General features: G+C 37.2%; 1 protein-coding gene and 1 pseudogene across 64 annotated transcripts in view; both read left to right on the top strand.

Annotated features, from left to right (window-relative positions):
• The window catches only part of INPP4B (inositol polyphosphate-4-phosphatase type II B), an 823376-nt gene that overhangs the window by 532352 nt on the left and 263656 nt on the right, over window positions 1-27368 (top strand). For 56 of the 64 annotated variants that reach the window (NR_169615.1, NR_169599.1, NR_169623.1 and 53 more), the window contains one exon: window positions 8647-8726. The exons of 1 other annotated variant lie outside the window; for it this stretch is intronic. Coding sequence is in view for 36 of the 63 variants with exons in the window: in NM_003866.3 (NP_003857.2) it covers window positions 8647-8726 (80 nt within the window). In the remaining 27 variants the exon portion in view is untranslated. Of the gene's footprint in view, window positions 1-6045; window positions 6184-8239; window positions 8308-8351; window positions 8485-8646; window positions 8727-27368 lie in introns of those variants that run through there. 7 more of the 64 variants (NM_001385458.1, NM_001385457.1, NM_001385459.1 and 4 more) reach the window with 3 other exon arrangements.
• Window positions 26559-27267, top strand: RPL5P13 (ribosomal protein L5 pseudogene 13; annotated as a pseudogene).

Genomic DNA, 27368 nt, shown 5'->3' with positions numbered 1-27368 from the left:
TACTGGGTGCTTTCTGCTTAGACAAGGCTAGAGTAGGCGGTGGCAGCTCCTAAAAGATATAGCCCACAGGCTGAATCCCTGCGATCTGTGTGTTCAGAGAGGAGGAAAAAGACCAGAAGTTAATTAGGTCTAAGAAGCCCTGGGGCTGAGCCAACTGGAAGAGCTATTTGAAATACCCTGAAATCCTACAGGTACTTGACAACCTTCTTCCAGTCAGTGTGTAGGGCACTGTACTAGGTACCATTAATTTTCTCATTGAACACAGCCACTTTCTCAAACCTGCCAAGGAAGGACTCCAAAAACATGCACCAAAGTTTGACTTGACTGAGCAGAATGTCAGTTATCTCTGCAGCTGTTAGTGAAAAAGCAGAGGGAAAAGGGCGATGTCTTGCTTTCTCATGCCTAACACAAGCCTCTCATCTCTTCCTTGGGACTAGTTGAGTAACTGCTTTGACTTGAGGGAGTCCTTGCAGTTTTTCTGCCTTCAACCTCTTGTGCCATTCACTTCTACTACCAATCTCTGTGCTGACTACACAAACCTTCATTTACTTCCTCCAGTGCATCCAGAAAGTTCTCCCCAGCTTCAGACCTCCACAGACACAGGCAGATGGACCTCTGTCAGCCTGGGCTGCTGCACTTCATGGGGAGAGGGCTCCCTTCCACAGCTCAGGGCTCAGCTCACATGTTTCCACTAGTACCACCCTGGGGCCCTGCTTCCAACTGGACCCTCCATCCTAAATGCATACTCTCATCACACCCCTGGCACTGCTTCATAAAATGTGAGACTTTTTAAAGTATTAATATGGGGAATACATTATTCTATCAAGGTGTTCCATTTATTTATCAAGGTTCAAGGAAGCTTAGCTGGTTTAATTTTTTTCTCCTGTGTTCACTGCCTGCCCCGACCCCACTCCACCACTGCTCTTGTGTTGAATCCCCCTTGCTTGAAGCTTTAATGATATTTTGGCCCAGTCGTGTAGATTTCTCCAATTTTTTTCTCTCACTCATGTTCTTGGGAATCCATCTTAATTATTTTAAACCTTGAGTCTCTTTTCTGATTTTATTTTCTTCTACCTCCTCCCACCATTTCCCCCTACGGGCTAGACTTTCTGTGACTCTAGCAACGTGCAGTGGGGAGGAAGCCTAATGTGAGTCCCACACATGTCCTGCCCTTTCTTCTTTTGATTCCTCAGTTGTGGCAGCAAAGAGGAAGGAGTAGGGAGACAGAGGTTTATTCTGGGCTTGCCCCTGGTGAGGGCAAGGTTTTCTTACTGCTAGACTTGATGCTTCTCAGGCAATGGTTACCTGTTAAGAGTCCTCTATGTGGCAGATACTGATTTGCTGGCTCTCTGATGGGCACAGGTATAGATATTTCTGAGGCCCTTGTCAGGTTCTCTCCATAGCATAATTGCCTACCATGGGGGACCTGGCTCTGGGCCCACTTCCTCCACTGCCCACCCCCATTCCACAACCACTTGTTGTGAGATCTACCATTCAAGCACATGACTCCAGGTCAGCCACTTTCTGTGCTGTCCAAATACATGAAACGCACATGTACTTGCCATCCCACATGGAAGAAATGCAGGCTGTTCCATTGTGTGGTTTCCTGTTTCGGCTCAGCCATCTCTCTGCTGATCCTTTCTATGAGTGCCAGCAGCTTCAGGCACTGGATCATATTCAATGATTCTCAAAGGAGAGACAATCAGTTCCCAGTGGAGGTAAACGTGGTTTAGACACCTCTAGGCTTTCTAAGTGATTTTTGGCACCAGACCCTCTTGGCTTCAGCTTTGAGGATAAAGATATTTTCCTGGGGGATGATTAAGAGAGAAATTAGCCACATCTCTGAAATCGGACACCTTCCTAAATGCTGATCTCTCCTCTCTTCTAGCCCTAGCTTTATATTAACTGGATATATTGTGGCTACTTATAGACCAGCGTCTCTATACTGGCTCCTCATCAAGGCGTGTTAATGAGATTGCTTGCCTCAAACACTGAAGGTTCTTTGAACATACAATGGGGTACATTTATTACATTGCGTCTTCATCTTTGAAAAAACTCGGCTATAATTCCTGGACTAAAAGAGAAATCTCAATTGGTATCCTGTGACATGCCTATTTTTGCAATTAGGAACGTACCCTAAGGCAAGTAACGTGACAAACTGGCTTAAAACTAATGAATGGGTTTGTTTTTCTCATGTTATAGAAGTCTTGGGAAAATTGTCCAGGGCTTCAGCTACTCAAAAGTGACTTGAAGCAACCAGACTCTATCCATCTTCCTGGTCCTTCTTTCTTAGAGAATTGCACAAACTGGCCATGGTACCCCAGGTAGCACATTCTGGGTTGAGTGAAAAATCAAGGGCAAAAAGCTCAGCTGGCCTATCCCTTCAATTCTGGAAAACAATAATTTCCTGGGAAATTTCATTTTGTATACTGTCACTTACATAGTATTGGGGAGCGCCTAAGTCCTTAGCTAGAAGAGAATCTGGGTACAATTCTCATTTAAACAAAACTGAGGTGCTATTAGTAATGAAGAAAGGGCAGAAAGTGAGTTAGATAGGCAATCAGTCATGTCTCCACACTCCTGCTAGATGTACTCCATGAGAGCAAAGTCTCTATTTCTAATATTCCTGGCTTTGTGCTTGGAAGCTAGCAAATCTATGAACTATGTATTGAATAAATCAAAAAGCACACCATGATTTTATTTTGCCAACCATTTTATGTATTATTAGAACCACCAGAAATAAATGGGTGGGGGATTCTAGAAATTACTGTAATAATACAGTAGAAAATCTAACAAATTTTGTGACCCATCAGAACTCAAAATGGCAGGTAAGATTTCAGAACTAAAGTTCAAGCACGGTAAGAATAAGTCTAAAAAGGAACAATTTAGCATGCATTGACTTCCTAACACCCTCAGATTACGTGTTATTTTGGAGAGAGAAGTTAACACATGTTGACCACCTATGAAGTACCACTTGTTAATATACATCCTATCAGCGAATCCTCAAAATATTTCCTTGGACACCGCAAAACAGATCGGAGAGTTTAAGCTCTTGGCCGAGGACAGAGCCAGTAATGGCTCTGTCATTACAACATACAAGGGCTTTACTCTTCAAGTACTCTAATTTTTTTTAAAGGAGTTTAGATTTTTTATTATAATCTTTCAAATATGTTAGGTGTGTTTCTTTGCATTCTCAAACAGAATTTAGTGGATGCACCCAAATATTTTCTTGATGACTTAGTCAAGCAAATACTAATATATGCTCTTAGACCTTTTGAGGTATATTCACAAGTAAAGATAAAATTCTGTAATAAATGACTTTACCTTAAAGTGCTTTTTAATGTTTCCTTTGGGCTATTCATCAACTTTTAATAGATTTCTTCCCAATTATTTTTTCTTTTTGATGTATTTTTCAATGTTAATAGTTCACTTGGTCTTTTTCTCTTCCTATGGGGTAGGAAATAATATAACCATACCTGTTATGGTTAACAGAAAAAAAAAAAAAAGTACTGGGGCTATGAAAAGGCCTGCCTGTGAGTTATGTGTAAGAGATGTTGTGTATCAGTCTTATGATAGAAACTTCAACTTTTCAGAGACCTTTTAAAACTTATACCATAGTTCCTATGTGTTGTTTTATGATGATAGGTCAAAATATTATTGATATATTCATTTAACCTCTAAACCAGCAGTGTTCAATGGATATAATGTATGTCACAAAATGCATGCCGCATATGTAATTTTAAATTTTCAAGCAGCTGTGTTTTTAAAAAGTAAAAAGAAACAGGCTGAATTAATTTTAATATGTTTTATTTAACCCAGTATATGCAAAATATTATTCCAAAGTTTAATCAATACAATAAATTATATATTCATATTTCTTTTTTCATACTAAGCATTCTAAATTCAGTGTGCATTTTATACTGAGTGTACATCTCAACTTGGAGTAGCCACATTTTACATGCTAAAGCCAGTGGCTACCCATTGGATAGCACAGCTCTGGAGAATAGTTGAATAAATTTGAGGAGGTCCATGCAAATTGTAATATAAAAAAAAAAAAACCTGTGCTTTGAATACAGGCTTTGTGAGAAGGATATGAATGATGGAGGTTTGGCCAGCTGTGGCCATATGTATGGTGCTGTACCTTCTCTGACCCCCTTAAAGGTGACTGGGGAGCCACAGAGGATCTGCTGCATGGAGATGTCAAATCCTAGTGAGCAGTCTGGATATCTGTGACTTGCTCGGAGTGGCTGCAGGGGCTGGTGGGTTACACTATTCATGTGGACACTCCCTGTAGGGAGAGGCCAGGGATTCTGACAGATGCACCACTTTTTTTCACCCTGTTTGATATTACTCTCCAGCTAGGTGAGAGTGATGGAAATCATGCAGCAAACAATTTAATGATTATCTGCTTTGGGGTTCTTGCACCAGAATAACTGAGTGTTGAGTTGTCATGAGCAGGCAAGAAAGGCTAGAGCTGCATGTCGTGCAGGCAGAGAGTCTGTCAGAAGGAAAGGGAATTGCCACCTGTCCTAGAAATGAGGCATAGCATGGTGGGGATGAAAGAATGCTGGACAGAGAAGCAAGAAACCTGGGTTCTAACTTGCCTTCTGCAGATTAACTAGTTCTGTGACATGTGTAAGCCAGTTTACTCTTAGAGGCCCCAGTTCCTTATCTACAGACTATCAGGGCCTTAATCCTTAAGGTTCTTTAAACATCCTATGTAATCTAATACTACTAACAGCTATAAGGGATCATAGGTAACATTTTCTCAACAATAATATTCATAACTACATAGTACCTTTTGGCCTTTGTATCTTTTTTCATCTTTTTTTCTAAAATTTATTCTAAGTTATATTTCCCCCAAATCTCATATTTATTTTTAAAGATATATTTTTCTTTTTGTAGTGCAGGCATTTCTCATAGACTTTTTAAAAAATACTTTGCCTTTTCCCAAAAGTGTTTAAGCTGCACATTAGATACTTTTAAGGCATCTGACTTCTGGTTATATGATCTTAATCACTATGCAAAGTTCTATTTATGGGAGATGTTTTATTTTCCTGGCTAGATGCTTTCTTTGTCTGGATTTCTTTAATTTTCTCATAGCAATAACTATGAGAAAGATAAGTTATCATAGGCATTTTTTTCAGCAACTAAGGCCTAGAGTAGTGGAGCAACTTGTTCAAGACCGCAGACTTCATAAGAGAGAAGACAGGGAAATAAGAAGTGACAGTGCTTAGCAGTAGATGGTGAGCCTGGGGGCCGGAAGAAGTAATGTAATTGTCCAGATTTTCATTTTTGGACAGAATAACTGATTTAGAGCCACACTTCAGACCTCTGAGCTCCAACTCTAGTGAAGCTTTCCCTTTTTTGTCTTTATTTTCCCCTGATAGAAACAGCACCAAAGGATATTCAGAAAACACTGTCCCTTGAATTATATTTAAAATATTAAAAAATTAAATAAATTATCTTAAATTATATAATTATAATGACAGTGATAGCAAAGATATAATAGCTTTATATTAAATTATTCTTTTACATTAGCATCATGTGCTATAGAGAAGACTCTTCTCATTCATTCTTTTACAATGTGTTCAGTGAGTATTCACATAGATAAAAGATTTATTTTCTAACTTTGAGGGTGAGAGAATCCTTCTTTTATTTATACTGAGGTGAAGAAAACAAGAAACCAGCTCGAAAGTAAATGTATAGGCAATCCCATTGTTTGTTGTTGCAGCATAAAACAATTGTCCTCACATTTTTTGATTTTATTAATGTAGTTTATACAACATGCAGTCCTGATATACAGTTATTTTTAGGATTAAAAAAAGGATAGCATTGGTACCCAAATAATAACTCCTCTTGTCTGACAAGTTTACGAAATGTAATGGTATGATGCCATCGTTATCCAGATTGATTTTTAACAGATTTTATTATTTGTGACCATTTTCATTATCCTTTGAGATCAAGCAAGTGGCTGACAGTTATAATGGATAAACCTGACTCATGGGCATTGTTCTTGGCACACTGTATGCACTCACAGTGCAGCCCTCTGTTCCAGACACTGGGCTCAGCTAGGAGATGGACAAGCCAACGTTCTGCTTCCACAGGAGCTCCTGGTCTGGTGAACAGGAGAAACATTCAATGACTTGCGGTCATAAATTTTACTTGCAGCTGTGCCTTATGGTGAGTCCATAGTTTATGTCTGAAAATAGCAATTCCACCTGTCTCTAGCTGCTACATTCCACTGTGGGGTGTTTGCTACTTTTATTGCCAAAAAGACTGCAATAATCTCATGACATGTGTAGCCAGCTTTATCAATTTTAAAACCACCCATACCTCCAAAATCTTAAAAGGCAAATAGAAAATAATTTGCAATTTTGGAGTTTCATAAAATTTATGATTGCTTAAAAGTTTTCTTTGAGTGTGAATAATGAGTGGGAATTTAATTTAAAAGCTATGATTATCAGTGAAGGAGAAAGTAAGATCGACATCTCTTTAAAATACAAAATGCTAAAATAAAATTCACTACAGCAGTATACGATCTGCATACTATAAAATTGTTTTGATTTTCCACATTTCAGTGAACAGTAGTTTATAAATAGCTGCAAAGGTAGCTTTTCTCCTATATGTAATAGAATCACTTACTTAAAGGCCAGTGTCTATGCCATTTGTTCATTCATTCATTCATTGTCAGTAAATATGTACCAGATACCTACTGTGTGCTATGCAGTGGGGGGTTATCAGCAAACAAAAGAAAGCTCTTTGTAGAGCTTCAATTCTCAATTATTTTTTGGAGAGGTGCAAAATAAATATATAATATGTCAGGTGGTCATAAGTGTCAATAGAGAAAAATAAAACAGGAATAGAGAATAGAGGAGTGTGTATGTGGGAGGGGAGTGTGCTTTCGTATAGGGATGTCTTAGAGAGCATCTCTGGTGAGGTGACATAAATACTTTGATTCAGGAGGATCTCTCCGAGTCCTCTCTGCCCCTGGCTGAAAAGTCACCCTAATTTCTGCATGCTTTGCTGATACAGCTCACAAACTTCCTTCTTTATCTTGATTCACTCTACTTCATCACTCACGGTCCTATCATCAGAGCTTGTTTCCACAAATCTATTTTTTGCCTAATGTTCCTCATCTAATAATTTGGTCTCAGATTTTTCAGGCTTTGGTGACTTTGTGTCTAAACCAGGTCTTTGAATTTTAAGTCAATTAATTGGGTTTATCATTAGCAATATTTGGGTATCTCCTTCAGAACCGAGTTGCCTTTCCTATCCTTTCCTTTCCTTTCCTTTTCTTTCTTTTTTAGAAATGAGGTCTCATTCTGTCTCCTGGGTTGGAGTGCAGTGATGCAATCTTAGCTCATTGCAGCCTTGAACTCCTGGCCTCAAGCAGTCCTCCTGCCTCAGCCTCCAGGGTCACTGGGATTATAGGCATGACAGGCGTGAGCCACCACGACCAGCGTGTTTTACCAAATGTTTGATTTTAAGCCTTTTAGGACCAGCTCATCTAAGTTAAAGATTTTAAAAGAGGGAGAAAAATTCCGACTTGAAGCTTTTCTTTCCTCTGCCTAGCAGTCTCTGAGTGTGGATGCAGCCTTTCATGTGTGAAATAATTTCCTATTTACCTCGAAAAAGATGCCATTACCCTCAAATTCTTTGTCCAGCCTCTCATTCTAGTGTAGCTCAGCAGCAGACCTATGATGAGAGACTGTTCTGGAAGAAGTAGCATTGACTTATTGTGGAGTATTTACATTTTGTTAGGCTGCAGTGGCATAAGAAATAACATGGGTTTGATATTTTCATATTTACTCCTTGACCTTAAGGGAAGAATGAGAGCTCTTTTTCATGTTATTTATCCCATAATATTGTGACTTTTAAGTCAGAAGTAGCCAGGGATATTAGAAAGAGATGATAGGTTTTTTATCCTGGGAAAGAAAAAAAAAAAAAAAAACAATTTGGAGTTTTATTCTTTACATTGAGTCAAAAAGAGTAGAAAGCAGATATTCATAGGTCATCAACACCTAATATAATAGACTAAAAAAGCAATTTAAAAAAATGTAACTTAATAAGTGCCATTTTCTTTCGTGTATTAGAATGAAATTGTCCCATGCTAGTAAAGAAATAACAAAGGAAAAATGCTTTTAAACATTGCTGTGATGGGGGAAAAATATAACATTTCTATTTATAACTTGTACAAAGTCCCACATAAAAATAGCTCCAACTAACAGATTTGCTCATATCTGGAATACAAAGTTGTTGCTGCCAGTGATTTGAGGAATTCTAATAAGAGGAACAACAGCATTGGTAAATATGGAAAATATATCATCTTTTATTTTCCTTCAGTTTTCATATGCAGAGAAAATTATAGTTAGTGAAACAACTCTGGGTGCTGTATTTTACCTCTTGTTATTTTCTAGCCTGTTGGTCTCTTTTCTTTTAGGGAAAATGATACATTTTCACCCTTTAATCCTACCCCATGAGGTAGATATATTATTGATAATTTTATCTCTGTTACTGAAATATTTGTCAGGCTAATAGATTTAATATTTCATTCTTCTAAAGACTCATTTTGTTTGATTGATGTGACAGCAAAAATATTAAAGAACCTCAAGTTAATGAAACCATTCTTTCTGTTATTTTCAGCGAAGTTTCTTGGGCTATGCCAGTTTTAAAGTGGGAGAGCTGCTGAAGTCAAAGGAGCAATTGCTGGTCCTGAGCCTGAGGTGGGTCTCTTTGTTTGTAGAAATACTGTTAAAGTTAATAACAAGTGATATTTATTGATGGCCAGTGTGTTTGAAAGTCACAATTCTTGCAGATGTTAGATGTCAGTTCTCAAATAGCTAATGTTCTCCACTGCAGCAAGTTATAGTGAAACAGCAATTATTCAAAATTGCATTGAAGTTCATGTTTCAGGTTGTGAAATGTTATTAGCCCTTATAAGAAAAAAACAATATTACATTATCATTAAAGTGATGAAATTCTTTGAAAGTAAGAAAGTAAATATAAATTATGATCATGTTATTAAATATTTTTTCTCTTACTTATCAAAATGTTACTTTTTAATCAAATAACTTTCCAGATTTGAAATATGTTAGAGGCAATATTGTAGTTTTATGATAATAGAGAGTAAGCTGATTATTCTTTTTTCAGCCTATTTTGGTGCTATACTATTAAACATAAAACACTTATCAGTTAAAACACATTCTTTCTTGACACAGACAATAGATCGTAGCTAATTCTGAGTACAGTTTGCTTTAAAATAGAAGATGAGACAACAGTCTTTAGGAAGTCACACTATTTTAATTACTAAGAGCGTTAAATAAAATAAATTTTTCTTTTTAAATTCAAAGTAAATTTGAAAACATAAATTTTGAAACAATAGTTTTCTAATCATATAGTAACTTTCATAATTATGCATACATTGGGGATACTGCCTTGCACTATTTTTATGGTATAAATGAATACAAAAATTGCATAGAATACCATTTGTAAATCTTAAGACTCTCTTATTTTGATGAAACATGGAGACCACTTTCAAGGAATTGGACAATGTCTTAAGTTTGTTTGTCCCCTTCCGCCAAGGACCCACTTATAACCAACAATTTATTTCAGTAAAGATATGATGGCTTATGCTAGCATCTCTATGCCAGGATTTGTCTTTTTCTGATTTTTTCTAATCCTTACAGCTCCTCATTTTGTTTTGATAAGATAATTTAAACTATGTAATACTTCAAGCAGAGAAATAAGTTGTGGATTCTAATGAGGCTGCCATCCGCTCTAGCTTCCTTTAGGTTATGTCTCCTAAACATATGGTGTCGGTGTTGGTGTTATATTTTGTATGGGAAAACATATAAAAATCTTTATAGTTTTATGATATTATTACAATACAGTTTTGCTGCTGTTACTGTTTTCAGTTTGAGGTGTAAACGGTCAGCTAAAAAGAATGGCTATCAATGTCACAGATAACCTAGAAAATATCATCATTCTAGCCTGACTATTGAATGTGACCCATATGCCCCTGGATTCATAACATGAGATGTCAAACATTGAGTTGCCTTAGGACTACTAGCAGTCCACATGTTTTCTAGATCAGATGCATAGCATGTTCTTCTTCATCTTACTGACTCACAAGCCCCAGTATTCATTATAACATAACAGTCATTAACATCAGGAGCATACTACACACTAGTGCAACATTTAGACATTGGTTTGAAACAGAAATCAGGGGACAAGCAGTTCTTAGTAAAATTAAAATTAGTGAACACACAGTACCTTAGAGAGAGGACAAGAACCGAAGGGTCAAGTTTAGGGTATTACCCTTGAAAGAGAAAAGAAATACATAAATTTCATATTTAGATGAAAACAAGACAAATTTCTTCACTTTTGATTTTAATACCCCTGATTCCTAGTCATTTGATCTTGATTATATAAAACAAATTCAACAACGAAGAATTGACTTTTCTAGAAAAAATAATGTTAGAAAACCAATTCTGAAATGGCTAGGTTATTATTTTTCCCAGTTTTGTGCTTTGCCAAATTTGTGGTTTTCTCTCCCTATGAACCAGACAGATTATAGATTTATCGTAGCCTCTTGATTTCTGGTAGATGGCTTTTTTAAAAATTCTGATGTAATTTATTTTCTTTCCACTGATTCTGTCTCTTAAGTATTGAGTTAGAAGAGCCTTAGGTCAGCCTTAAGAAGCATTTTTGTTTTGTGTTGTATTTTAAAATATTCCTTTGCACTGATTATTTCTGACTTTTATTTTATAGTCATTAATTTTAAAACAATAAAATTCTCTGATTTCTGTAAAACAAATTCACAGAACTAAGAGCATTCCATGAATAAATTTCCTTTTCTTCATGGTTAATTTTAGCTTCCCCAAATCTTACAGTTGTGCTTGTATTCACTGTTTCTTTGGGGGCTTCTTATGTGATAATTCAGATTCTAAAACTCTCAAACTAATTCGACCGAGCACTGTGATTTATGTAGCTTCCGTGTCATATGTGCTTTGAACTGGAGATCAAGGGCAGAGGATACATTGCTTTTATTTTTTTTTCCTGCAGAAAACTTAAAGGAACAAGACATGTGCATCTAATTTATAGATTTAGACTCAAACTTAATGAAATATGATGTTGTGTATTTTTAAAGATGTAGAGTAAAATGTGTTTATATATATTGGGGAAAATGCCTCTGATGTATAAAGTGGTTTCTATTCGTATGTCACCTTTAGTTAAATGCGAATTTACTATGTTTCTGAGTGTCCTAACATCTCAAATGGACTTGGGTTCTCTTTAATAATATTGTCTACATCTTTATATTACATCCACTCTGTTTCACTACTGTGCATTTGGTAGTTCCTGTCTCCCCTTACTTCTTTTTTATCTCAATTATATTTTCTGTTTTTGTTTTCTAATTCATTGCCGTGTAGTCCTGACTTCTAGACTTGTAAACAAGGTAGAGTTTCTGTATGGAGGATTATAATTATAGCTGTGAAAGACACTTGATAATATTATAAGAATGATAATAAGGATGACAATAACCAACCATGTGCTTTGTGCTCTGATAATTATATTAGAGATGTCTCATTGACCCTTATCAAATGAGATGCTATTATTAATTTCCATTTCATAAATCAAGAAACTGAGGTATAGAAAGCAGTTAAGTAATTTGTGTAAAGTTATAATGCTCTTAAATGGGAAAGGCAGGGTATGAAACCACACATTTCTAACTGCAAAACCCATGATTTTAATGACCGACATTTTGTCTCTTTCAACAAAAGAGAAAACAGAGAACTAGTTGAAATTCATATCACATATCACATACCTTACTAATGGCAGAGCAAAGCAAGGACTCAGGCCCAGAACCAGTTTTTCATGGTTTCTTCCACGTTTGACTTCACCACCGTGCCGAGGCTTACAGAAGGTGATGACTAGAAGAGTGGTCCTATGCCAGGGAGAACTTGGGAATGTTAATCATGATGGAAAAGTGTGAAAGGGCCTGTTAGTTTAAGGGGGGATTGAAGGCTGAGGGAAACCTATGGAACGTGTTCTTATCCCAGAACCCTGACTCTATCCTGATCTCGATCTGGTTTGCTGCCAAAACACCTGACAATCCTTTGCTCTACCAACCTGATGTAATTTTTGGGAGACCAGTTAAGCAGAACTTTGGAACATTGTAATAATGTCTTATAAGTTGATGAATATAAAAGTTAAATATAAAATAATATAAAAGTTGATTCTCTCTGTGGAAATGATACTAGCAGTCAGGAAAAAAAATTATATTGATCTTAAAGTATTTAAACAACCACAGATGCAAAGCAACAACAACTACAAAGGTAAAATTTGTTTCCTAGGAAATTCATCTCAGGGGAATGGAGACAGAGGAAAGTGTTCCAGCCTTGTCACAGCTTTGTTGTGTGCCTCTGCACAGTTTGGATTTCACTCAGTGCTCATTCATTCAGCAAACATTTACTAAGAATTTTTTATATTCTTAAGTACAGGGGTAGAGTTAATATTTTCCCATTGATGTTACCAGTTATGTGTTTAATGAAAAAAATCTCATTATTGAGCATCTGCTAGCATGCAAGGAATATGTGAGGTACTTTTCATGCATTATCTTATTTAATCCATGTGGCATTATCATTTGTCTTATAGCAACTTGTCTAAAATTCTACAGCTGCTGACTGTGCAAGTGGGATTAGAACTCAGTTTGGTCTGACTCCAGAGCCTATTCTACTTTTATTTTACTACCTAGTAGGAAGCTCAAGATCTAACGGAATTTTTTCTTCCTTGTCCATTTTATATTCTTTTGTTTAATGGGTTTTAGGAGTCTCAATTAATTTTTACTAATGTTTTATATTAAAATTCAATTTTATCTGCCTGCAACATAGTAGAGGTTTAATAATTATTTGTTGGAGTTTCAATTCATGATGATTACTTCCTTATGCTTTTATGGATGCTAAATGTAATGCTAGCACCAAGACTTCATTTCTGGGTGTAATCCATCTAAACTGGTGAATATTATGCAGTCTAAGTATTAGAGTATATCTGAGGCAAGCAAATTTCAGAGTAATGGTGAAAGTTGTAATCTGTTTTAAAAGCTGAAAATCTTAGAATCTACATTTATTTCAGTACAGGGCACTTTACCTTGTCACAGAAACTTTCAGCTCATCTTAACGAGGACTTTATTATTTCTTTTATAACCTACATGTCACCACACCCCCACCCCACCAATTAAATAAATTTTATATCATTTTATCAGGGTGAATGTGATAACACTTTTTCTTGAATAGAGATGTGCAAGTATTTATTCATACGAAGGGACTATGCTTTTCATTTATTACTTCTACCACATTTACAGTAGTGTTTTTATGGAACAAATAACATAAAACACTGATGATCTTAAATGGATATATAATTATATTTTATAATGTATAGATGTATGCAAGATGCTATGAAAGAAAAACATTTAACTTATACTGTTTTTTAAATTTCTCCTATTTTATGTAGTATTTATATGTATACCTATGCATGCATATGTACATGTATTATAGATTATGTGGATGACTATGTGTTTGGGAATCTATATCATTTTAGAACATTTTGCTTCCTCACAATGAATATTTATTTCCTATTTTTTGTCAAATGTTTATGCCTAGAGATGTAAGATCCAAATTGTGAGGTTTTTAAGCTTTTATTTTTTGGCATTTTGGTTAATTAGCCTCCTTAAATACACACACATGAACATACACAAAGTTCAGTTTTGTAGTTTCTGTAAATAAAAGAACAACAACAACAACAACAAAATTCCACATATTTTTAACGTAGTCTTCCAAAGGCGCATTCTTAACTTGAGAGCCAGAAGCAGCGATAAGGAGAGGCTCCATCGTCTTCTATACAAGCATAGTCAGAGTGATAAAAAGATAAAACTGCTAGTGGCACCTCTCAGGTTGGGAGGCCAGGCATGTTTTATAGGCCACAGGGCAGTGGATTGAAATAAGTTTGTTGCTGGAATCCTGTAAGTTGGTGTGAACCCCCACAGTGACCTGAAAACAACCTGGCCATAGATAGACAACAGGGTTTTAAATGACAAATTTTGTTTTCAAATGAAATAAAACATTCTTAGACTTTTGATTTTCTATTCCTACACTTTTTTGCACACAAATAAAGTTGATGTATGTCTTCTTACTTTAAGCATGGAATCTATTTGTTAAATCGTGTCTATGATGAATACTTCTATAATGGCATTTTTTCCTATCAATATCTACTTAAACTTCAGAGATGACTTTAAAAAATCATATCCAAGCCCCTTAATAGTCATGTGTATTTGGCATAAATTTCTTTCTCTTTTAATAGTCTTCCAGTTTTTTGGGGGGGTGGTAGGGGGAGGTACCAGAAAGTAAGATTCTAATGATCTCCACAACAGTAAGAGTTTTCCACGTCTAAAATATTTTGTATATTAAATAAGGTCAATAGAAAGTGATTGCAGCCAATAACCACTCTTTGGAAGAGAGTAGCACATATATGATTAACTATAAAACAGAACAGTGTTATACTTCGTTGAAAGCATGGATGGAAAGCATGGATGGAAAAATTAGAGGAAAAGGATGGCACATAAGTAGCTAAGTTTATGCTTTTGTGTAGAAAAAAAAAAAAAAACTAAAAACTTCATAAGACCTAAAAGCAATGCATCAAAACACTACATTTTTTTCTTTGAAAGTGAACAAGGCCGGATGCGATGGCTCACACCTGTAACTCCAGCACTTTAGAAGGCCGAGGCAAGAGGATCCCTTTAGCTCAGTGGTTCGCAACTATAACATGCCAAAACCCCATTTCTACAAAAACTACAAAAATTAGCTGGGTGTGATGGCGCATGCTTGTAGTCCCAGCTATGCGAGAGGCTGTGGTTGGAGGATCCCTTTTTGAGCCCAGGAGGGTGAAGTTGCAGTGAGCCATGATCGTACTACTATACTCCAGCCTAGGGGATAAGAGCAAGACTCTGTCTCCCCCCCAAAAAAAAAAAAAGAAAGAAAGAAAAAAAAAGTGAAAAAGCAGGAAAACATGTGAGTCAACAGCAAATGCACACTAATGAGTGATCCAGGCACACACATATGAGCAAGACTCACTGTGCTTTTTGCATGGTGACAGGAAGTTCCTCCATGACAGCTCTGACACTGACTTGGACCTCATAAACATGTAGGGAGAGGTAAATAACACTCTTTGGAGTTTATGATGGGTTAAGAATTTCAAATGTTTTATCATAATCTTCTGTTCGCCTCAATCTTCTAAAAGATGGCATAAAAATGATTTTATTTCTGCTTCACAAATAAGCAAACTGAGGAACAGCAGTCCAACTTCTTAATGTTGCACAGCTGAGAAGGAATGGAGATTATTGAGAAGAAGTGTTCGTGATATCAAGTATTTTTCAGAGAATATGAATTTTGCTTAGAATTTTAGGATCCAATTATTATTATCTTTTTTTTTTTTTTTTTTTTTTTGAGACAGAGTCTTGCTCTGTCACCAAGGCTGGAGTTCAATGGTGCAATGTCTGCTCAGTGCAACCTCTGCATCCCGGGTTGAAGCAATTATCTGCCTCAGCCTCCAGAGTAGCTGGGATTATAGGCGCCCACCATCATGCCTGGCTAATTTTTGTATTTTTAGTAGAGACAGGGTTTCACCATCTTGGCCAGGCTTGTCTTGATCTCCTGACCTCGTGATCTACCCAACTCGGCCTCCCAAAGTGCTGGGGTTACAGGTGTGAGCCACCGCGCATGGCCTGATCAAATTATTTTAGAGACCAGAGAAGACTTCAAACCTGGCCCTTCAGCTTCTTCTTGGACCCCTTTCATGACAGGAGACTGAAACTCAGAATTTTTCCTCCCGTTTTCAGACAGGTCTAGTGTTAGAAAAGTATTTCTATTGTATCTCAAGTTTTATCTCTTTACCACAGTCCCAACTCTTCTTTGTGGAGTTAAGTAGAACAAGGCTCATGCTTTTCTTCTATAACCACATTTGAAAGCAGCTCTTTGGTCCAACTCTAAATCTTCTTTCCTGTTTTGTTTGTTTGTTTGTTTGTTTGTTTTTTGCCTTAGGAAGGCATGTGAGGTAGTAGAAACAGGACTTTCATACCAGACTTGGGTGCAAGTCCGAGCTTAGTCACCACCTGCATTACCCAGACATGTCTCTTTAACATCTATTAATGGAAGTAGTAATAAACTCCCTTCCAGGGTGGTTCTGGGCAATTAATAAATGTAGTGAAGTTCCAAGCATTGCCTTTTGCATTAGAGAAAAACTATAAATATCGTTTCCCTTTATTCTTGCATGAAACTTACTAAGTCCCTCAGCCATCCCTTACTTTTGGCTTGGTTTGCTTGCTTAACTTGTTGAAATTCCTTTTTAGAATGTGACAGCTACCTTCTCTAAACTTGGTGTGTTAGGCTGCATTTGCATTGCTATAAAGAAATACTTGAGGCTGGGCAATTTATAAAGAAAAGAGGTTTAATTGGCTCATGGTTTTGCAGACTGTATAGGAAGCATGACACCAGCGTTTGCTCAGTCTCTAGTGAGGCCTCAGGAAGCTGTTACTTACGGCAAAAGGTGAAGTAGGAACAGTGGTCTCACATGGCGAAGGTGAGAACAATGGAGGTGGGGGAGGTGCCACACACTTTGAATCAACCAGATCTTGCAAGAACTCACTCATTATCTCTAGGATGGCACTAAGCCATGAGGAATTTGCCCCCATGACTCCAACACCTCCCACCAGGCCCTGCCTCTAACAGTGATTACATTTTAACATGAGATTTGGAGCGGACATCCAAACTATGTTACTTGGTCAGTGGGAGAGGGGTTGACTTAACTCTGGATCTGGATATAACATTTCTATTATCCAAGGAAGGCGTGCTTACCTGAAACCTAAATTCTGGCTTTAATCACTCTGGCATCATATGGCTTATTGCCAGGTAGCAGCTACCAGCAAAAGAAATATGGACAGCAATTTGGTTGAATCAGGCAACATGCCAGAGTTGGGAGAAAAATACTTATTTAGACTAAAAACTTTAGCAATAAAAGGTTGAAATCAGGACAGAAATTCATAAGTGTAACACAAAGTTTTGCTTTTAGAGGTTGCTGATTCATTTTATTGCTGAATATATCAAAAACTGTCCAGAGAAGTAACTTCAAGTGAAGTAACTTCAAGTGACATTTCTTGGGGTTGAACTGTGAGAATGAAGGGTGACATCAAATACAGAAGTAGGAACATCTTCTTATAAAACTGATTATTTTATGTTAACTCTGTTAAAGGCCCTTAGGGACACGATTTCCTGAAATTTTCAAAAGGCTCTAACATCAGCCATTTTGTAATAACTTAAAATTCCATCAATTTATAGAACTTGGGGAGAATGCAAAGCATGCAAATGTGAGATTAGGACAGTAAAGAGGTAGAAAGAGCAGATGATTTAGAGACATATCTGTGCCCAAATCCTGGCTCTTCTGTTGCCTGTCAGTATGGCTGATTGTTCTGAGACTAAGTTATCTTATCTGTGAAATGGGGATACTAGTGGTACCCACTTCGTGGGGTTCTCTGTGAGGATCACATGAGTTACTAATGTGAAATTCTTACAACAGTGTCTGACACATAAGTTCTTGATAAATGTTAGCTATTATTTTTATTTTTAGTTGATTAGCTTCTCTAGTGCCGGTTTTTGTTTTCCAAGACAGGATAAGACACATTGTACACAAACTATCTGAAATGGCATCTAATGCAAAGCAGGTCCTCATTGTACTACCTACTATTTAAATTATTATCATCAGTTCTTTTATTTCCCACTTCATTCAACTAGACTGTTTTTCATTATAATTTAAATGGCTCTGCAGTTATATATTCTGTATTTTTTTTATGTTCCTAATCCATTTAAATAAAGCTGTAGGTATGACCATGGAAACCAATTAGCACTTTCTTAGTTTGCATTATCCAAAAGGTGTTGGATTTGTCGGATTGCAAATTGGTTTAGAGTTCTCAGTCACTGAAGGGACAACACAAACCAGAGTACACTTCAATAGTTCCTCAATTTGTATAGAAAAGCCTGAAACCTTTCCTTTTTTAAAATGCAAATCACGTAAAGTTAATATCTGTACACAAAGACCTACCTGCTTAAGAAGTTTGAGAGCTAATTTAGCTTTGAAGATAATTTGCAGGAATGATTAGGCCTGAAAGGAATTATATTTGACCTGAAAATTTTGTATTGGATTTGCCCATATTTACCAAAGTCAGTTTCATTATTATCACTGTGTTTCTGCTTCACTGGACACATTTATATCTGCTTTTTCCAGTGTTGTTTTGTAAAACCGGTATCCCTTTGGTTATTAATACATGTTTTTTGAATAAAGGAATTCTGTGGCCAAATAAGTTTGAAAGTCCTCTAAAAAAAAAAGAAAAGAAAAAAAAAAGGGAAAGTGAATTTCTTTCCTGTAGGACATCTCAGAGCCTTCAGTAGCCTTTCAAGGCCCTCGAAGATGCTCAGAGGACACATGTCGCCTGCAGCTTTTCTTAAATTAATTTGAATGCAAGAAGCTTTCATCATGGAATACTTATCAACAGCTTATTAGACACTATGTTCCAAGAAACATAGTCATGTTATTCAGAAAATGCTGATTTAGAAGAACAACAAAAATGTATTTTTCAAAGAAATGTGTGAGTGGTTGTCTATGTGTATTTTCTGCCATAAGCATATTCTGTAACACACACATCCATAGGCAGGCATGTGATCCTCACCCAAATGAACACTCACCCCCCAATTCCCCACACATCATGCCTCCATCCACATGCAGGTGCTATACCCCCATCCACAGTCATTGACAGACCTGTGGCATCTTATACTCATGCCCATGCACAAGTTTGTAATATTTGTACAAGAAGTATGGCGAAAAGTGGAAAAATACTCACTGTTTCTTTGATGTTCATTGACAGATTCTTTTTAAGCTTGCGTAAGTGAACACATATTTTTGTAATCACCTAATATTTTACCTACCCCAAACTGAACTTAGCTCTTATGCTGAAAGCTCTGCCTTTTGTTTGTTTCAGGTTAAACTAAGACCCTTCCTACATTCAGGTACCCTAAATGTAGCCCAAGCTAGAAATCTCTGCATCATTTTCAACTTCTCCTTTCTAAAATTCTTATCTGGTAATGTTCTTTTCTTTCTTGAAACTTTATATGTCCTCTTTCCCTTCCCCACACCACTCCTCTTTCCTCAGTGAACATGAACATCTGCACATCTGCTCAGCCCAGGTATACAAGGTGCTTCATCCACAGCCTGGCGTAAGTCTGCCTTTTTTTTTTTTTTTTTTTTTTTTTTTGAGACGGAGTCTCGCTCTGTCGCCCGGGCTGGAGTGCAGTGGCACGATCTCAAGTCTGCTTTTTCAGTTTCATCTCTACCCACATTATTCTCAATCCTGACCACCTCTTCTTACCTCATTTATGGTGGCTTGTGGGTACCTAACACTTTCTAAAGGTGAAATCAGAGTTCCTTTATTTCTCTGGGATCCCTATTCTCATGCTTTTTGAGCTCAGTTTCAATTTCATCCAGCAAGAGAGCACATTTTTGTATGTGCAGATGGTGCACCTTAGATTGCTCCCCGTGCGTGTCCACTTTTTCCCCACCATTTTTTTATATCCCTTGTCCAAGGAAGATATCTTATCCACCTGGTATTCTCCAAATTTACTCGTACTGGGAATTGAGAGGTAATAGTCTCCAGGCATGTCAGTGAGAAGGTCTAGTCACCATCCCCCACCACAGCTTACCATTGGCCTCTCAATTTCCTGTGACCAATGACTGTCTTTCCATCATCAGAAGCTTAGGGGCTGGAAAAAGGATGTCAGAGCTCATCATTCCTACTCCAGTTAAGATGCTTAATGATCATTAGAAGGTCATCATTTTTTAACTGCTTCCAGTGAGGTTTTATTTTGCATTTCTATTTATATATTTTCTTTTTACAATACATTTAGGGGTTACAAAGGTAGTTTTGATACATGATATATTGCATAATGGTGAAGTCTGGGCTTTTAATGTAACCATCCCCTGAATAGCGTATATTGTACCAATTGAGTAATTTATCATCCCTCACCGCCCCCTCTTCCTCCTACCCTTCTGAGTCTCCAGTGTCTATTATTCCACACTCTGTATCCACGTGTACACATTACTTAGCTCCCACTTATAAGTGAGAACATGTGGTATTTTAACTTTCTTTTTCTGAGTTATTTCACTTAAGATAATGGCCTCCAGTTCCATCCATGTTGCTGCAAAAGATATTGTCAGTTCTAAGTGTGAGTTGTACTGAGGATACCATCCTAAAGTGGAGATAGGAAGTTACTTGCCTCTTGGCAATGTATTACCCTTTGTAGCGTACTCCAGCTCAGGAATTTCTACCCTAAACCGTTAAATGACATTCACTGTTGTCTGTTGTTCTGTGTCATAGCGTAGCTATTTCATAGTAAAACTGTGGCTAAGAGAGATTGTTTGCAATAGTGCTTCAGTAAGATAAAGGATTGAGTCAGGGAAAAAATGAATACTGTTTAATTCATGGAAGATAGGGAAACGTAGAAAACTCATGAAAAATAATAGACAAGACAGATTTTAAGAAGGTAGAAGAGAAGGATGACATCAAACAAATAAAATATGTAGAATAAGACGGAAGTAATAGGCAAGTTTATGTTGTTTTACTTGAATACATTTAGTGCCAACATAAACAGATTGCTTTTTTTTTAATGCTGTGCTGCAATGGAGGATGATCACTTTGCATCCAGCCTATAGTTTTGTGGTTGATCCGCTAAGTTCCCTGATCGATGTACTTAAGCTTAATAGAAATGCCCTGTAATCCAAGCACTTTGGGAAGCTGAGGTGGGTGGATCACCTGAAGTCAGGAGTTTGAGACCAGCCTGGCCAACATGGTGAAACCCCGTCTCTACTAAAAATACAAAAAATCAGCCGGGCGTGGTGGCAGGCACCTGTAATCCCAGCTACTTGGGAGGCTGAGGCAGTAGACTCTCTTGAACCCAGGAAGTGGAGGTTGCAGTCAGCCAAAATCACGCCATTGCACTCCAGTCTGGGTGACAAGAGCAAGACTCTGTCTTAAAAAAAAAAAAAAAGGGTATAAAAATTAGGTAATTACCTTTTTTATAACATCATCTTGGGCTGATTAGTTTATTGCATTATAGGACAGTTTTACATCTTGCATAGAAAGTAAAGTTTTAAAATTAACAAATTATCAAATGAAAGTTTAATTGAACCTGACTGAAGTGTTACTAGGCATATATTACATTATACAAGAAAAACATTATACAAGAAAAACAAAAGACCAAATTAGCTTGTAGAGACATGCCAAATGTTACTTCTTTTTTCCTATGTTCACACACGTAAATTGGGAAGTAAACACACTTCTTTAGAGCTTAATATAAAAACTGATTGATAAAAACAAATTTAAGGTATCATAATAAACATGGTCTAATCCTCATCTATCCATTGATGACCAGAGCAGATCACTTGAATTTTATTGTACTTTTTAATCTTCCCTTATATTTCTCTGATGCAGTCTCTCTCAGGGAAAGGATTTAAAAGTTTAAATCCTAAACTTAGAAATGGTGTAAGTGGGGATTATTTTTCTCTTATCTAGAAACAAATTGAAGATTTTCCAGGACTCACACAATAAATAACAGAGATGGTCTCTAATGGTTCTTGGGTTTGCTTGTTTGTTGGGCAGTCTGCCAACTAACACTAAATTTTTTGGCTATTGACGTTTGCTTCTAGTATCAGGAAAAATGAATTGCTTCTATGACCAAGTGAGATACAGTTTTTAAAGCACTTTCAGGATAGACCTGTGATTGTAACATCGAAGAAAGTTGGAGTTTCATCACTGTTACCAGGAGTTCATTACTTTGCTTAAACATCCCAGTCTATCTGGTAGTGATAATAATATCACTGAGATTACTTCAAATTGTGGTTTTATAAGCCAGATTTAAAGAAAAGGATCTCCTATACTTTAATAGAAAAATAAAGTTTTCAAGCTATTCTTTCTTTCATGTCATTTCTCCTTTTTCGGTACTCCCACTAGTCCTTGAAACAAGTAGTATTTGAGTGATGTTATCTTTCCCACTAAGTTCATTTGAAAAAATATATTGAGACAAAAATACATATAATATATGAAAGATCCAGGGAGAGGGAATGTTAAAAACAAATATTACTGGTTTTGTATTTGCTGTAAAATTGTGTCATTTTCTCAGAGATTGTCTTTGTAATGCCTTTAAATTATTTGAGTCCAAAAATGCTAGTCATGGATAGGAAATGATGCAGCACAATTTCCTTTCAGGGCTAAGTGAAGAAAAAAATGAAAATATAATTTTTAGTGAATATTTTTTCTTTTTTTATACCTTATAGGTCCATTCCTCAATTAGAGCTTTATGAACTTTCTACCTAATGCCTTCCCTATAGAGAGATGGAGTCAGAAATGAAGGCTAATGATTTTCCAAGTGACAAAGAGGGCTTCCTTCTGGAGCCAATTTTAAGAATAGGATGCTGGGCAACTGTGAAGCGAGAAGACAGTCTGGGAGTAGAGAGCAAGCAACATTTTATAACAGTACATGAATACCCATTCTAGGAAAGAGTTTCCTCTTCTAATTTTGAGTCAAACATGTGACTAATCAGCATATAAAGCTGACACATGAGGTCCCAGTGAAGATTGTCGATGGCCGTGTACATTACCCATAATGTCAGCTGGGACTGGAAACTAAGTCACATCACATTTAGGAATTGTGTCTAAGTTCTGTCATTAGTTAGACACATCACTTCAGAAAGTCGATCTTTCTTTGTACGTCAATTATGTCATCTCTAAAATAAAAAATTTGAGTTAGATGAGCTTTCAATCCCTAGTGTTAGTTGCCTGATGATTTCCTCCATCTTGTAAGAGATGAGAGGAAGGAAGTAATTTTTGCATTACTTAGAAGACATGATTAATGAATTATATAAGGAAAAGCTTTTGGTCTTTATCGGGTAATTCCTATGTTCCTGGAAGATAGCCCTTCTAGGATCAGATTTAAAGAATAAGTCTTTAGAAACAGAGGCACTGACAGAGTTCTGAGGGCTTTTCACAGCCTCATCTATAATTGGGACTTCTAAGAGCAGACTGTATCTCATAAGGCTGATTTGAGATTTAAAAATAATAATAATATGTTCAAAAAAATTGAACTAGTGCCTGGTACATAGCTGCCAATAAATATTGGTCATCATTCCTATCCTCATCATCAACTTGAGTGTCTTAAAACACTGAGCCCTGAATAGCCCCTACATTCTTTGAAAATAAATATCCAGCTCCAGGTTGTTTGATGCCTAGCTGTCTTTGGTCATACATACCACGTCCCCCATCTATGGCCAGCCTGGTCCAGTGGGTGATCAGTGCCAATCTCATTGGAAATGTGGCATTAGAGGAAAAACATAAAGGAGAAAATAACCATGTAGACATCAGTTGGGAAGTGGCAATGGTGGTGGTGGTAGTGTTTCAAACAAAAGAAATTGCTAGTGCAAAGGCCCTAAACAAGGAGTTTCATTGGTATATTCGAGGAACAGTAAAAAGTCCAATGAGGCAAGAGTTGAGTGAGCAGTGCATGGAGGAGAGGTAAAGAAATAAGGCCAGCAGGGCACGGTGGCTCACGCCTGTAATCCCAGCACTTTGGGAGGCCGAGGCAGGTCGATCACCAGGTCAGGAGTTCACGACCAGCCTGACCAAGATGGTGAAACCCCATCTCTACTAAAACTACAAAAAGAAAGCCCAGAGCAGTGGCAGGTGCTAGTAATCCCAGCTACTCAGGAGGCTGAGGCAGGAGAATCGCTTGAACCTGGGTAGCAGAAGTTGCACAGAGCTGAGATTGTGCCACTGCATTCCAGCCTGGGCAACAGAGTGAGATTCCATCTCAAAAAAAAAAAAAAAAAAAAAAAAAAAAAGGAAGAAAGAAATAAGGCCAAGGTGGTGATGAGTTCCAGGTGGTATAGAAATGAAAGCCACTGTGCCCATTTCATCCTTTACTCTGAGTAAAGCTTGGAGCCATAGCAGAGTTTTGAGCAGAAGAGTGACCTGACTTATGCTGTGTTGGGATCAGAAGACTGAAGGAAAGCAAGAGTGAAATCAGGGGGACCAGTCAGGAGGACTCTGTCTTAATTCAAGGGAGGAGTGATGGTGGTTTGCAGGGAGGTGGTAAGACATGGTCACATTCTGGATACATTTTGAAGAAAGGACAGGTAGAACATTGTGACAGCATGAATAATGTGAGATTTCAGAGAAAGGGAGGAAACAAAACTTAATTAAATAGTTTTGGTCTAGATTTGGGGAACAATGAAGTTGTCGCTGAATAGGGGAAGCTGTGGTAAGACAGGTTTTAAGAGAAAGATTGGGTCACCATGGAGTACTATACAGCCATAAAAAGGAATGATATCATGTCCTTTGCAGGGACATGGATGGAGATGGATGCCATTATCCTTAGCAAACTAATGCAGGAAAAGAAAACCAACTACTGCATGTTCTCACAAGTGGGAACTAAATGATGAGAACACAGGGACACAGTTGGGGAAACAACACACACGGGGCCTGTCCAAGGGCTGGGGGCTGGGAAGAGGGAGAGGATAAGGAAGAATAGCTTGTGGATGCTGGGATTAATACCCGTGTGATGGGATGATCTGTGTAGTAAAACACCATGACACACATTTACCTATGTAACAAACCTTCACGTCCTGCACACGTACCCTTGAACTTAAAAGTTGGAAATTTTAAAAAAGAAAGATTGGAAGTTCAGTTTTAAACATTATCGAGTTTAGATGAGTTAAGTTTGTAAGAATGAATTAATGAACTAATATACAAAATAATGAAGGAACCCTGGAAGGCCTAGAAAAGTATTTTAAATTACAGTCAAGAAAAGCAAATTTCTGAATAGAGGAAATAAGAGAGAAAAATCATCACCATATTTTAAAAATTCACTGCTAAAAGTATATTTTAGAAAGTCTCTGTCTGATGCTTTCATCAGACAGTCCCATAACACATCAATTTATTAAACAATACCAGAATGGAGAGGAGAAAGTATAATAAAGATAATAACATAATGGTTTAAATAAAAAATACATTGAAAGTAAGAAAGAGTAACTTGACATTGCAGAAAACTGAATCAGTGAAGCAGAGGATAAACCCAAGCAATATTCCAGAGTTCAAATAATATACTTGAATCCTTCACTGATTCTGCAGCTTTTACCACCAGAATACCAAGAATGTAATAATAACTTACTGAATGTTTGTACACGTTGTCTCATTTAAGCTTCAAAATATCTCATAAGGCAGGTAATATATTATTATCCCCATTATACAGATGAGAAAAATAAGTTTAGAGGTGTTGAGCAAATTACCCAATACTATATCGCTGTTATGTTTCAGAGAAAAAGAAAAAAAATAGAAAGGATGAGAGAGAAGAAAATGTATAAAGCGAGGACAATGTATAGAACTGTAATTAAAGGCTTATTTTAGGGAAGATAGGCCAGATTCAGTAATCAGCCTTTTCTTTTTTTTTCTTCCTGAGACAGAGTCTCGCTCTGTCGCCCAGGCTGGAGTGCAGTGGCCGATCCCAGCTCACTGCAAGCTCCGCCTCCCTGGTTCACACCATTCTCCTGCCTCAGCCTCCTGAGTAGCTGGGACTACAGGCACCTGACACCACGCTCAGCTAATTTTTTGTATTTTTGGTAGAGATGGGGTTTCACCATGTTAACCAGGATGGTCTCTATCTGCTGACCTCGTGATCCACCTGCCTTGGCCTCTCAAAGTGCTGGGATTACAGGCGTGAGCCAACACGCCCGGCCTAGTAATCAGCCATTTTAAGATAAAAATTTCTAGAGATTTACAAATACAAATCAAGTGTTTTCTGTGTTCGAAGCAGAAGAAATAATGACCAATATTAAATCATATTCTGGCAATTTGTAAGGTTTGAGGTTTGAAGAGTGTTATGGATGAATTTTTGTGTTCCCTCCAAATTCATATATTGAGGCCCTACCCTCCAATGTAATGGTGTTTAAAGATGGAGTCTTTGGGAAGCAATTAAGTTTGGATGACTTGATGAGTGTGAGGCCCTCATGGTGGGATTAGTGCTCTTATAAGAAGGGATACCTGAGAGCTTACTCTCTCCCTCCCATGTGAGGCCACAGCTAGAAGGCAGCCACTGGCAAGCCAGGAAGAGAGCCCTCACCAGAACCCAACTCTGCTGAGCTCAGACTTCCAGCCTCTAACAACTATGAAAACAAAAATGTCTGTTTTTTTAAGTTCTTCAGTTTTATATGCTATTTTGTTATGGTAGTCCAAGTAGACTAAAATAAAGATGCATTATATTCTAATAGAGTTTGTGGAATAGAGCTTTAAGGCCCTATTCTTATTAAATCAACTGTGTGTTCTTGTTGTTATCGCTAATAATTATGATTTTAAAATTATCACTGTTGCCACAGGTCTGTGGCAAGCCCCAGGCTAAGGGTTTCTGTTCCACAGGATGGGGTTTTTAATGGTTGTCAAGAATAACGCCTGCTTCAAGAGATACCAAGTTGAGATTTAGAAGAAGGCAGAGGGTAAATTAATTGTGATGCTCGGAAATGCTTAGTAAGCCGGGACAAAAATAACACAACATGCCCAAACTCAGGGTGACAGTTTGCGTAACCAACAGAGAACTCATTTGTCTGACTGTTATGCCTATAGAAAAGGGGATATAATCGTCTGAACAGCCGACGCTTATGAACTCCCAAAGTATAGTGTGGAGGTATTTTGTATTTAGATGCAGCTATCGTCAGAACTACCACTTAAAATAAACTTTTTGGGACTCTGATGGGAGCTATGGATGGAAGCTTGTCTATCCCTCAAGGTACTGAATGATTTCCTGGTTATAATTCAGAAAGTAGGGAACTCAATGCCAGAAACTTCAGAAGCACGTCATAGATCACAACAGATCCATTGGAGATTATATGCATAACCTAATGGAAGATGAAGATGCTTGTAGGAAACATTTTTCTCAATGCATAAAGAAAATTGTAACTCTAGACATAGAGGAGATGTATAGGAAAGCTCACACTGCTATACTCATCTATGAGAAGAAGCCTAAGAAAGAAATTAAAGACAAGAGGAAAATGTCTCTAGCTCGGAAGAAAGATCAAGTAGCTTAAAAAAAGGCAAGTGTCCTCATAGCTCAGTAGTGGGCTGTTGAGACACAAACCAAACCATCACAATTGTCTGTAAAGACTTTTAGATAAAGACAATAAACTAATTGATCAAGCAGCTAAAACAAGATCAAAAAGATAAAAAAGTGACC

Source organism: Homo sapiens, chromosome 4 (assembly GCF_000001405.40).
Source record: "Homo sapiens chromosome 4, GRCh38.p14 Primary Assembly".
NCBI classification, from domain to species: domain Eukaryota; kingdom Metazoa; phylum Chordata; class Mammalia; order Primates; family Hominidae; genus Homo; species Homo sapiens.
Note: the sequence above shows the minus strand (reverse complement) of the source record. Positions and strands in the feature narration are given on the sequence as shown.